General features: G+C 39.0%; 1 annotated feature.

Moving 5' to 3' along the window:
* Positions 1697-2359: an enhancer, noted in NCBI's record as "OCT4-NANOG-H3K27ac hESC enhancer chr13:53917362-53918024 (GRCh37/hg19 assembly coordinates)". NCBI's record gives its function as "activates a minimal SCP1, AML or CMV promoter by ChIP-STARR-seq in naive H9 embryonic stem cells {active_cell/tissue: H9 hESC(naive)}" and the evidence as "EXISTENCE:reporter gene assay evidence [ECO:0000049][PMID:30033119]".

Below are 14409 nucleotides of genomic sequence, written 5' to 3'. Positions count from 1 at the left end.
GCCAAAACATGGCAAGAAATTGAGGACAGAGAAGGCCATCCTCTCCTGCAAGTAGAATATACAGATGGCCCAGATTTGGCCCCATCCTGTAGCAAAGAGACCTTGGTAGCCATACTGAACCTTGAGGGTGATGTAAGGCATAATGGACAGCTGGATATGGAGGGTAACAGGTTCACAGTCTGTTAAAGCCTCTTTCCAGGAGAACCCAGTAAGTGGCCAGCTATTACCGCTCTAATGATATATAGCACAGGTCTGAGGAAAGGCAACTTCTTGCATTAGAAGTCCGTGGACAACTAACTGTGGCCATCATAAGTAAGTCAGCAACTCCAGTGGCATAAGGAATGTTACTAAACGCTCTAAAACAAAGGACTCTCTAAGGGCACTAAGGGGAATTCCTGATTATTTCAACTGGACAGATTCTAGAATCTTTTGTTAAGAGGGGCTCATTTAAGGTGGGCTGATTTCAAGTGACAGCCTAAATATGTCAAGTAAAAATTTAAAATGTGGACTATGCTGCCTTCAGAATCCCAAAATTACTAAAAACAATGGACTTGTATTAACATTTGAAAAGGTCAATAGCTGTTTGTTTCTTGATACTGTCAGGAATGAAACATCTCTTGATTTACCAATAATTTTCAAAAATGTAGCCAAGGTGGCAGGGCTTTATACTATGTGGGGCAATTGCCTATTCCCTTTTTATAAGCTATTTTATATTTTCATGTCCTTAATTAATGTGTCAAATGACCTCAGGAGGATGTCATCAATATAGTTTCATAGCAGTGCTTCTGGGAAATGTAGATGCATTGAAGACATTCCTTGCAAAGACTGTGTGCAATGGCAAAGCTGCTGGTGTACTCCATGGGCAGCCTGGTAAAGGTGTGTTGGGTCCCTTCAGAGGGAAAGGCAAACTGCATCTCAGAGGCTGCCAAAATAGGCACTAAATAGACTGCATTAACTAAACCTATAATAGCAAAATATTTACTGATTGCTGATTAGATTTTTAAAAAGTAATTTCAATAATATTTGGTGTTGAGTATGGGGACCTTAGCAGATGCAACCACAGGATTAAGACTGTAGTGATCTACAATCTTCTATTATTCTTTCTAGGTATAAGAAAGCACAAAATTGGGCTGTCAAATGGAGAAGCAGTGGAGATAATCATCCTGTTACTAATTAGGTCTTATATAATGAGGTTTGATACTTTAAAATCCAAATTTATATTGGGCCATATTAATGATATTAACTAGGGGGGTTATGTAGTTCCATTTTGTCAAGCCAATTTTTAGGTGCCAAAGACTTAATCTAATTTTTATTTTTATTATTTACTGATTGAGTCAGATTATCCATGCTTACTGTGAGACATTTTAGAGCAATGGGTGCTATGACCATGGGAATTTATTTCCCAAAGCAATAGCTTTGATGGTTAAGGTGAGGCATACCTATTTGTTCTTTATTTTATATTCAGTAACTCTCCCAAGATTATAGCGGTACCTTGTGTAAAGTTAGTGGCACCCCACCTCCAGATATAACAATAATTTGAGCCCCAGTGTTGAAGTATATGAAGGTCCATGAATTGTTAATTTCAACAGATGTTAAAGTGAATTCAGAACCTATATCATAGAGACACTAAAGCCAATTAACACTTCTTTATCTTTTTGCTGTTTAAATTATTTCTAGTAAATTTTGAATTTCAAATTGGGCCAAATTGTGGACCTATGATTTAATTTAATTACATATATATAAATTACATAAATTTAAACATGTATATGCACATATGTTTAAATTTTCTCTCCTCCTGTATCCAGGTTTCTTTCTCTCCCTCCTTTTTTCTGTTTGTCACTGGATATACTTCAATAGGGAGGGTCGCCTCTACTCTGCCTATATTTATAAAAAGTCTTCTTCCAGAGAGCCTCAGTATTGTCAGGCTTAGGTGCCTCCCAGGTGGCAATTGTTATGGTTTAAGGGCCCTAGGTTTAAGTCAGGTTTGCATAAACACCTTTGCTATGCCACAGGGATACCATGAGTGTTTTGTTGTTTGGGGTATTGTTCTAACCCTGAGGATTAGCCTCTGTTGTGACAAAGCCACAGGCAGCCCAGTGATGCAGCAAAACAGTGCTGGCCCACAGCCCAGAGGCTGGGGAATAGAAACCAGCCTCTGCTACAACACTGCCTTTTCCTGCAGGGTGGGCTCCCCTCACCTACTTATTTTCTTTCTGTACAAATTTCCTCACTGTATTTTGGTTTCTGGCTGCATTAAGCCACGAATTTCAGTTTCTGTCTCCATCCAGTCACTTATAGTGCAGACATTCTGGCCCTATCCAGAACCAGCTGGTTAGCAAAGAGCAGATAACTAAAGCTACAAGTTCTTGGTGGTGGTTGGGCCATCCTGCTTTTGCCATCCATTGTTCTGATTGCCTCCTATTCACTCCATTGGTGAGGGAGGGATTCCTTGCTTCAATTAGCACAACATGGACAAATACAAGCAACCCAACACTGGAGATGAAAGTAGCAGCAGTTGATCTGTCATACATTCTCACAGCCCAGGATAAAGTACCATGCATACCATGCAGGGTCCCACAGGTTGCATGCTGGAACAGAGTAAACAAGCAGGGGCTGCTGGGGAGAGACTCTGTAGTAACAAGAGGGTGCAGTGACCCCCGTTTCCCATAGGAGAATATGATTAACTGGTTTGAACAATTTCACAGGCTGGCAGGGAAGTCAAACCTGTTGGGTTGAGGACCTGTTAGAGTGTAGCTGGTCCAACTGCTGCAGGGACTAGTGGGTGGGGAGTGTAATAGCAGGGAAACTTGCAGTGAAGACTCTGGGGCACTGTGAAGCTTAAAGATGTCAAGGCAGCAACTGTAACTTCATTTCAGGCCCCAAAGCTCTATCCCCTGGATCCATCCTGAATTTCATCCACTTCTCACGCCCTCCATGTCTCTATTGAGTGCCAGTTCTCACCTCCCTCACCTGTTCTACCCCAATGGCCTCCTGTGCAGTACCTACACTTCACTCTTCTCTCCACTGCCCAACACCACCATAGCCCATAGACTTTACCCACATCTATGATAAATGTCTGCATTTTCTACTCAAAATGCATCATTATACTCACATCACACTTTGAATAAAATAAAAACCCTTGGCATGGCCTATAGGATCCTATGAGATCTGGGCTCCACTTCCTTTCTTTCCCAACATCAGTTCCTGACTACTCTTCTCATTGAACACTCTGCTCCAGCTACACGGTCTTCTTTCCTTCCCTCCACTATGTCAAGCTACTTGTAATCTAAGGGCCTTCACACTGTTTCTCAACATGAAGTCATCTCCCAAAAAATATTTGCAAAACTGCCCCTTTTCATGATTCAGGCATCAGCTTTAGCATCACCAGGCTGTTCTTACCATGCTTTATCTTCTTCATAAAACTCATCCCTACTGGATTTTATATTACACATTCTTTTTGTTTGTGTAGCTCCTACTGCGATATACATTACAAGGCAGGAGATCTTTTCTGTCTATTTTCTACTATATTCTCAGCATCTAGAATGTACCTAATATATAATAAGCATCCAATGAATATTTGTTAAATGAAATAATAAATGAATAAAGGATATGTGTAAAAATGAACAAATGAAATTATCTGTATCATACTTGGCACAAAATAGAGAAATATTATCTACCCTCATTAGTAGGATTATTAGCATTATAGGCTGACCTTTTCCTAATTATGAGCATGCACTGGGGGTCATATTCTGATTAAGTTTACTTGTTATTATGACTTAGAAGCCTCCGAGGAATGGCACACTTCTTAATGTCAGGCATATCTCATCTTTATTCTTATTTCTCCCCAGCAGCTACACTAAGCAAACACTAGGTGCTTAATAATTAAGAAGCACACATACCATGTGTCAGTTCCCAGTCTAAGGACTTTATATTTATTAACTCACTTAATTCTCATAAAAAGCTTGTGAGATGGATACAGATGGACACTCTTGATATCTTTATTTTACAGATGAAGAAATTGAGGAACAGAGAGGATAAGATATTTTCCCAAGGTCAATTCAGTTAATAGATTTGTCAGCCAGGGTTCTACCAGAGAAACAAAACAAACTGAGAGACAGACAGACATAGAGACAGAGATAGAGAGACAGAAAGAAACAGAGAGTTCAAAAAATTGTCTCATGTGATTGTATAGTCAGCCTGGGCAAGTCTGAAGTCTGTGGGGCAGACGAGCAGCAGGCTAGAAACTCCCAGGCAGGAGCTGAGGCTGCATTCCACAGGAGGGATTTCTTTTTCCTTGGCGAAACCTGTTTTGCTCCTAAGGCCTTTCAACTGATTAGATAAGGCCCACTCAGATTATCGAAATAATCTCCTTTACTTAAAGTCAATTGACTGTAGATGTTAAGCACATCTACAAAAATGCCTTCACAACACCTAGATTCATGCTTAATTGAATAACTTGGCCTAAATAACTTGACACATAAAACTAACCATCACAGTAGATTTGAATCCAACCTTCTGACTTCAGGCCTAAATTCTTAAGCATTGTGATACTCTGTGTTTCAACCAGTATTTTTTGAATGATTAAAAATGAAAGAATGACTCCATCATGACAAAATGGATGACTGTTGTACTTCCTGAAATAACTGTATTCTCCCTCTTACCTGTCCTCAGCCTTGTTGAATACTTCAATTTGTAACTTGTTTCCAGGATTCTTTGAGCAGGGCCATTTAAAATATATTTGAAAAGAGATTTGATGTGTGAAGCTTACTCGTTTTCTAGCCAGAGGTCTCTCTGTATGTTAGGGATTTGTAGTGGAAAACTCACAAATGGAATTTCAACACATCTGAATTCAAATATCCTGGTTGCCTGACAATAGGATTGGCAGCCTAACAACTTCCAAGCTGACACCATCTTGCTTTCCTGGAGACAGTGTCTAAAAGCAATTTACACATTACAGAGGGCTGAGAGTGTCTTTTCTTTATCTGCCATAGAGAGCACAGTAACCAATATCAGTATAGACAGTCAGAAAGTTACCTCTATATCCTCCTTAGACTGACTCAAAAGTTGAATTTTGAACATCAATCTCCTTCTTATCACTCCTCTACTTGCTTAGAGGCTGCCACCTTGCTTCCTAAACCACCAATCCATGCCTTTTCCTACGTATTGTCAGGAATTCATGACACCTAGGAAGTATTAATTAAGCCTTGGAGGATGCGAGAATTTTCTTTTGCTCAACTATTTTCCAGGCCTACTTCATTTCCTTTTGAACCAATCAACTGTTTGCAGCTTCTGCAGACTGAGCTTTTGAATAAGAGGTCTGAAATGAAAGCATATCTGAGAATGAACACCTGGAAATGAGTACGCTGAGTGTAGTCCTTGTTTGAGGCTGTTGTTAATTCTTTTTAATTCTCTCAGATACTATAGAATGCTACTTAAATTTGTTACTCAATTTCCTTTAATAAAAACGGGATAATTGAATTCAGTAAATATTGGCTCAGTGTTTACTTCACAAAAAGTACTCTGAGGGAAAAAAGGTTGAGTAGAACACAGTCCCTTGAAAAACTTTAACTATAAGAAGGGAGGAAAATACACAAATCTAGGGTAGGTGCATAAGAGAAGTTAAAGCTATGAACATTCATGAAGGCAGGAGCATTTCAGACTCTTTCTCTCAGGGGATCGATATCTATAGGCTGGCCTTGAGCTGAGCACTGGCAATCCAGTGAGTGCTTAACAAAAAAATTAATATCCCTCTTTATGTTTGAGAAGCCAGATAATAAACAAATGATAAGTACATGAGAATTTCAGCGAAAACTAGACAGACCAACGGATATGGAATTTCTCAGGGAAGGAATTATTTTCTACATGATAATTCAGGACATCCTCTTTGCAAAGGTAACATCTGAGCTCAGTCCTGAATTTTAAGAAGCAGACATTTGGGGCTAAGTAGATTCTACACAGATTGAGCCATACATGTAAACTCTCTGAGGGATATATATACTTCAGTTGTCCAAGGAACAGAAAGAAGGCCCACAAAGCAGGAATATATAATATAATAATCCAGGAAAGAAGAGTAGGCAGTGAAGCTGAGGAGGCACCAGAGACCCTATCACCTGGAACCATTGCAAGCCACTGTGGGGTTTTAAGCAAGGACTGAAATGATCTGATTTATACTTTTACAAAATCACATTGGTTTCTGAATGGAGAATTATTCATGTGGGTCATAAATGGAACTAGAGAGACCACTTGGAAGGCTGTCTGCTTTGGCCATCCGGGCCAGGTGCTGGCTTGGATGAGAATAGGCACTGGGGAGATGGTAAGTTCTTGGAATCTGGGTAACATTTTTTGGTAACATAATCGATACTTGTTGACAAATAGTGGAAGAAGGGAAAAGAAGAAATCAAACAGACCCCTATGTTTTTTCCCAGGCAACATGGTGCTTGAAGACGCCATTCACTGAATTGGGAAGTGCCCTGAGATAAACGGATTCAGCAACATATAGAAGCACATTTTATACAAGATGAGAAACATGGACAAAGTCCTGGAATCAAGAAAGGAAGCAAAGCTTTCAGGAAAGTCAGTGAACATTTGGCTGGAAAGCAATGTACATGTCAGGAAGCTAGGGGGCACTAGACTGAAGAGGCCAAGGTTGTATATCGAGGCTGTATAATATTGAAGGCCATGGATGCTGTGGTTAGGTTGAAGGGGGTAAGCATTAGACAAGGAAGCCACAAATAATTCAAAAAATAAGAAAAACTGGAAGATCCTTATGCACAGACTTATTGCTGCCTTAGTAAACCCAGAAACCAAAGGGACCCAAGTTGGCCACTCAAAAACCACACAGGCCAAGTACAGAAAGTGCCTATAGGCCATCAAAAACTACCCAAGCTTTGTCAGGACCCTTGGAGGTGATTTTTATGGACCCACTTCCTGTGAATGCTGCTCTTCATGGCAAGCAGATGGGCACCTACTTATTGAACAGTGGCAGAGTAGACTCCCTTCCTGACAATCCCATTGTGTGGGATCCAGAATCTTAGTAGCCATCATTAACAACAAAAAGGCTATCAAGAATAAGCTATCTGAAACTCTCAATACCTCTATAAAGTACATCTAAAATATCAACTTAAAGAGAACTTGGGGTTATCTAATTCTCTTTCCAAAATGCACTGTTGAAACATTTTCCCCACCTAAACAAGGGCCACGATTTTCAAAGAAAGGAGAAACCACACCCTCTCCTCACCACCAGGCTGCATCAAGATGGCCTGGAGACCATTCAGGCCAAGCACGGTGGCTCACGCCTGTAATCCCAGCACTTTGGGAGGCCGAGGAGGGCGGATCGCGAGGTCAGGAGATTGAGACCATCCTGGCTAACATGGTGAAACCCCATCTCTACTAAAAATACAAAAAATTAGCTGGACGTGGTGGCGGGCGCCTGTAGTCCCAACTACTCAGGAGGCTGAGGCAGGAGAATGGTGTGAACCTGGGAGGCAGAGCTTGCGGTGAGCTGAGATCACACCACTGGACTCCAGCCTGGGTGACAGAGCAAGACGCCGTCTCAAAAAAAAAAAAAAAAAAAAAAAAAAAAGATGGCCTGGAGACCATTCAAACCACACATCTACCTCCCGGAATTGCTGAAACACCTGCCTGCCCCACCTCCTTGCTCAGGGGTATGTGGCTCCCCACCTTTAGAAGGATCCACATGGAAAAACGGAAAGCTGAGACCCTCTGAGTCAGGGTGCTACAGGCACTTGCTTTTTGTCCATTTAAGTCACTGATATGCAATTTTATATCAGAAGGCAGAGTCTAAGGAAAAGAAAAAGGATCAGACAGCTTTTTGAAACCAAATTATTGCCTCTCTGACAGATACCACTGTGCTGCTTACAAGTATTTTTCCTATTAAGTTTTAGCAAGTACAAGGGCTATAGTAAATAAGCTTTCATCTGCAGAAGCTTTTCAAGGAACAAATAAGGAGCAATGCAAAGTAATCCTGGGAGAAGTTTAAAGAGAGATAGTATCACCTGAATTTAGAGTAATAGAATAGAAGGAAAAGTAGAAACCTATATATCATTGCTTTGGGGAGGGGGGCAAATCATTCTTCTTTCTAATATATAATTTATATGCAAATTGTTGCTATTATAAAAATAATTACACCTATTTGGATTGGAAATATATATATTGGAAATATATATTATATACATAAATATATATATATAAGATTACATATATATATATATGAGATTACATTTGAGGCAATGAACAAAATCTGACATTAAGTAACAATACCTTGAGACATTTAGGAAGGTTTTGCCATCAAATAGTTAATAGAGAATTCAGTTTTTACTTTCTTATTTTGAGTTTTTCTTTTTTTCTCTCGGCTAGAGGAGAGAGATGATTTCTGTGGCATATGATGGTAGACTTGTTGCGAGGTAATATTTTTATTTTTTCAAGGCTCAACTAAACTTTTTATGCAGTAATAACCACATTTCCAGGCGAAGTTAGGAAACCTCATAATATTACACATGAAAAAGAAACAACAAGGCCAGAAGAAAGCTGGAGTTTGCACTGGTTTGAAACAAGCCGTGCATAGCTAATCAGTCAGAAAACCCTGGATTACAACCAAACCATAACAGAAGAATATAAATGAACACAGGGCATGTGAATGATTCTTGCTGGGGAAAAAAAAAAACTTGAATTATCAAGTAGTTTTCTGAAAATTGAAAAATAGCAAACACTCAATTATTGGCAGCACACGTCCTCAATTAGGCAAATCTGTGTGTCAGTCAACCAGAATATACAATAGAATAATTTAGGTTCATTCTCTCTCAATCTACAAACATAATCATTTTCACATGGAAACTTGGCAATGTCACACCTCATTTCTCAGCAGACTTAAGAACAGTGTGCAGTCCTGAGGTGTTTTGGATCACCTTTACAAAATGAATCCCAGTACATTTCCACTCCCCTTACAGATTGTTATCACGTACAATTAAATCTAAACTGCACTTGTCAAAACAAGATAACAAATCACAGTCCCTGGTGCAGTAGCCCTAGATTTCTTTTTAATCATCCTTTGTCACCTGCTCTCAAAGTTTAGCAATTGAACCATTTGCAATACAATCCCAATACTTACCAATAAGATAGCCACATTTAAAACTTTACACCTACAAATAATTAGTACCTAACAGCTTTATAGGATGTTTAATGAAGTGGCAGTAATTTTCCAGAAATAAAACTTCAGAAAAGTGACAATTTTTTTTCTTTGTCTTTCTGTTTTGGAAACTTGTATTATGATAAAATAAAACCAAAGCCTAATTTAGAATCTAAGATCTTTAGAGGAAGAATACAGTTTTACATATGCATCAACAGGCTGAATGACTTTGTTCTTTTCCAGTTTATCAGTTAAGATGGGCTATGGCACCAAATCTCAGTGGCTTAACATGACAAAGATTATTCTTCGTGCATGCTAATACCTAATATAAGGTAGCAGTGGAGGCCTTGCCCAGTGTATTCATTCAGGCAGGGACCAAAGTGAACAGAGGCACCATCTCAATACATGCTTCCAAAGTATAGAAAGGAAAGCCACACATATCACTTCTGTTCAATGTTCACAAATCTTTGGCAAAAGCAACTCACAGAGCCAAGCCTATATTCAAAAGGAGGATAGATGTATTAGTCCATTTTCGTACTGCTATAAAGAAATACCTGAGACTGGGTAATTTATAAAGAAAAAGAGGTTTAATGGACTCAGAGTTTCACGTGGCTGGGAAGGCCTCACAATCATGGCAGAAAACAAAAGAGGAGCAAAGGCATGTCTTACATGGTGGCAGGAAAGAGAGTGTGTGCAGGGGAACTGCCCTTTATAAAACCATCAGATCTTGTGAGACTTATTCACTATCAGGAGAATAGCATGGGAAAAACCACCCCTATGATTCAATTACCTTCTACGGGGTCCCTCCCCATGACATGTGGGGATTATGGGAGCTACAATTCAAGATGAGATTTGGGTGGGGACACAGCCAAACCATATCAGTAGAGATGTACAATCCTACCACATGCCTAGAAAGCTACCTATTTCCAGTATTGAGGCAATAGTTTTATAAAATATTCAATATTCCATATAGAGAAAACCTGAAATTATCAATAACAAAGTAAATAAATGAACCACAGAAGAAAATATTCTTCTATTTTAATTAGAATCATACATATTCATTTTCCCCTTTAGGTCCCCTACTTACACATCAATCAATGAACGACTATAATAATAAGTGACAGAATGGATTCTTACCCTGCCAGTGTTGTGTGGTCGATGCTGGTATCCAGAGACCTAGTCTGGGAGCCCAGAAATGAAATAGGTTACTGACCATTGTAATACTAAAGGGAGCTTGACCATGTTGTTCATAGGAAGTTTTGCCTCTGCCCATTTGACACAGCCATTCTGATGCGATTGTTTTATCCAGGGAGACATAGACAGCTATTTTGACACATCTACTTTGACACAATCTTGTCAAAATTGCAAAGGCCAGATGTAATAATATTTTTTATTGTTGTTAAAATATGTAACAGACATTTCTAACCTTCCGAAGCCTTCCTTAACACCAATATACACTCTGGCAAATCATAGCAGAATGAAAACATTCTTTGTGTATTATGTTTATCATGTAATAGTTATAAATTCTTGTCACTGACCTTCATCCTATTATTGAATTTCTCTCCATTCTTTAATGTCAACTCCTCTCATGCGTTTGCTAGCACTTTCAAACATTCTCTACCATCCTCATTCCATCCCAGAGTCAGCCCCTTCCTTGCTTCTCTTCACTGATGTTGTCTAGCCTCAGCATGTACAATCACTGAAAATTATTCATAATATATTTTTATCATCTGTAAATCCATGTTTTGCCTTGACAGGAGATTTTGTAAAATATTCATAATAATTGGTACTCATTAAGTGTTGGACCAAAGATTGACAAAATAATTTCACAATTAATCCACAGGAACTTGAGAGCTACTCTTCTCAGATACTTACAGAGAGTTTTATTTTTGTATTCCTTCTTTACATTTGAGATTTTTCTATCACTTCTAACCATCACAATGGCAACCTGTTCTTTCCTTCTTTTGTAATGTATGTGTCCTTTATCTTTTCAATGTTAGACTGTGAGTTCCATCAACAAGTTCCCAAATGAAAGTATCCCTTTTTAAATTTTCTTTCTTTCTTTCTTTCTTTCTTTCTTTCTTTCTTTCTTTCTTTCTTTCTTTCTTTCTTTCTTTCTTTCTTTCTTTCTTTCTTTCTTTCTTTCTTTTTCTTTTTGAGACGGAGTCTCACTGCTCTGTTGCCCAGGATGGAGTGCAATGGCGCAATCTCAGCTCACTCTAACCTCCGCCTCCCAGGTTCAAGTGATTCTCCTTCCTCAGCCTATCAAGTAGCCAGGATTACAGGCGCGCACCAACACGCCCGGCTAGTTTTTATATTTTTAGTAGACACGGGGTTTCACCATATTGACCAGGCTGGTCTCGAACTCCTGATCTCAGGATCCACCCGCCTTAGCTTCCCAAAGTGCTGGGATTACAGGTGTGAGCCACTGCTCCCAGCCTGTTTGTTTGTTTCTAAAGTTGATAGATGCCTTGAACTAGGGGATCATTTATTATCATTATTTATTGAGTTACTATGAAATGACTTAAGATGGCATGAAAATAATGGAGCCTGACATTGTCCTTGATCTTGTATGTACGTGTGGCTGGTGAGTATGCACATAAGCAGCTCATAGATGGATAGATATATAGATAGTAGACTCAACCAATTTTAAATTGGATGCAGTCTTTCAATTTTGTTGCCTTCTGAGACTTTAAATGTACATTTTAGTTGATAATACAGCATTTTTATTCTTTTAAAATGACCCTAAAAGAGTGTTACATGTGGGGTGGTGGTCAGAGGTAAGTATCAGAAATACACATCTCAAAACATTACCTAATAATGAATAATAGAGTTTTAAATAAGGGGAAAAATAGCAGTAGGACAGAGGCCAGGAATGAAATGTATACCGCTTTTGTGTACATTACTCATAAGTATATAAATGAACTTAGCAAGTTTGTTCTTTCTTATACATTAAAATATCTTAAAGTCAAAATTTCTGCTTCAAATTGTCAAAATGTGGTTTATATTTCCCAAGATTGTATATCTGAATAACAATTCTATTTATTTCAAATGATCTGCAGACTAACCTCAATGTGCAATGCACTGTGCTTAAGTGTTTTAGAATAGATTAGAAAAAAACACAGCGCTTGACCTAAAGATCTCCTCAACTGAAAAGATAGGTATAGTAAGTACCATTGAGGGTAGAGAGTCACTAGCCCTGGACGATGGCTCTTGGACTTCAGAGAAGGGAAAGCTAATTTAACAGACTTAGGCCAATGATTTAGAAGTCCACTGTTTCAAAGAGAAATGTATATACATTCTCACATATGGCTATCCTTTGGAGGTTGGACTTGGGTTCATTATTCAGAAAAATTTGAAAGCTGAATCCACCAGGCAAGTTTAAGTGTGAATTACCCCAAATTTATTTTCTGAGCATGCAAAATTTGATCTTCAAAATATCAAATGTGTGCAGAAGACACTCTGTGCTGAGATGCACGCATCTGTTGAAGTGCCAACTGGTCTGGCCAAAGAAAGAACAGCTGCCTGAGTCTTGAGGCAGAGATAGGTCGGAGACATCTCAGCCTCCAAGGCTAGTTGACTTAAAACATGGTCGGTAAGAAGAAAAGCCTCACCCTTATCCTGTGCCTTCAGCATCAACATCTGTTTCCTAAGTTCTCAGTGAACAGCCTGCTCCTGTTTCTTCACAGAAAATATAAATAATCAGCATTTTTCAAATAGCAGCCTCATGGTACCTGCCAAACAGAGGCCATGTATTTAGCATGTATTTACTAAGAGAAGCTTTCTTCCCATCATGGGCCTCAACAGAGTGTTCTACTCTCCTAGGTAGACACCTGGAGATTAATGCTTCAATTGCATTGCCAGGTATGCTACTTTTTGCTGTTATTCTCTTGTATGTCATTGTCTAATATATATATATCATATGTTACATAAGTGAAGGGTGAGTTGTGGAGAGAAAGAGTTTCAACAGTTCCTATAATTAGGTTTTCTATCTATTAGCTTTTATTAGGTTATAAAAATGAGCTCCATAATTAAGATTCTGTGGTCCCCCCTCTTAAGGACTCAGTATAATATTTGTTGAATATGGTTGAAGTCCACCATTTGTATCATGGAAATGCCTCCTTGGAAAAGTATGTAAATAAAGTCATTCTAAACATCTTAACCCTAGGCAAAATTGTAAAGTAGGTTCATGTTTTATCTTCAATGATGTCTTTTTTCTCTAAATCCTTTCTTCATTAGATTCTAATTTTTTGAATTCCCACACCAATGGGAAAACTAGTGCCTCCTGATGCCCCATCCCTCCAGTCACAAGGGAAAAAAAAAAAAGCTACTCTGATAAATTCTCACATTCAGCAAGTTTACTAGTCCTAAACAATGGGAACACAATGGATTGCTTCTGTCAAGTTGCCTATAGTCTAGTGAGGGCAACAGATATGTAAACAACACCTCCTCTCTACAATTACAGTCCTACAATAATAATAATCAGTCTTACAATAAAAGGAAGCTCAAGTTGCAACTGGAATACATGGGGCATCCGTCACCCAGACTCTTTAGACAGCGTTCTGGAATTGGTGACAATTATTTTGAATCGTGACGAAAAATCAGATGATATCAAAGCAAAAATGGGTTTATTCCAAGCAGAGGCAACAGCATGTGCACAATCACAGAAATGAAAAAGGGGATGACCATCAGGAGTGTAACCCCTCCCAAGATGGGTTCACCTAAAGCCAGGTAGAGCCAGCTGGAGCCGAAATCCCAGATTCTGGCCTGTGGTTTTGGGCTCCACACACTACAGACAGGCCAGACACATAGTCCTGACCTCAGTCACTCTAACACTCCACAGTTTTTGTCCTAGAAAATCCACAAATTCTTCATGCTCCACTTCACTGATTAAATTAAAATTAAGCCCACTATTAGCAGTCATTTGAATTCTTTGTATGATCAGCATATCAAAAATAGGAAAATTGAATAATGATACAACTATAATAAACATTTCCGAGTACCACGTCAGGCACTGTTTATAGAATGTACACGTATTAACTATTTTAATCCTCACAACCCTACAAAGTAGGTGTGCTGATTATCCATTTTGTGAGGCGTGAAGAGATGGTGCTGATAAGCGGTGTAACTGGCATGCTGAGCCCAGCACCAACCTCCCACATGTCAGAGCACACATCATTTCTCTGCTTTGAGCTGAGGTTTACGGGATCATATGCTGGGATGCTGCTCCTGATCCCCAAATCCTAACTCTAGACTTCCTGATG

The sequence above is a fragment of the Homo sapiens genome, chromosome 13, assembly GCF_000001405.40.
Source record: "Homo sapiens chromosome 13, GRCh38.p14 Primary Assembly".
NCBI lineage: Eukaryota > Metazoa > Chordata > Mammalia > Primates > Hominidae > Homo > Homo sapiens.
This window is presented reverse-complemented; position numbering and strand designations above follow the sequence as displayed.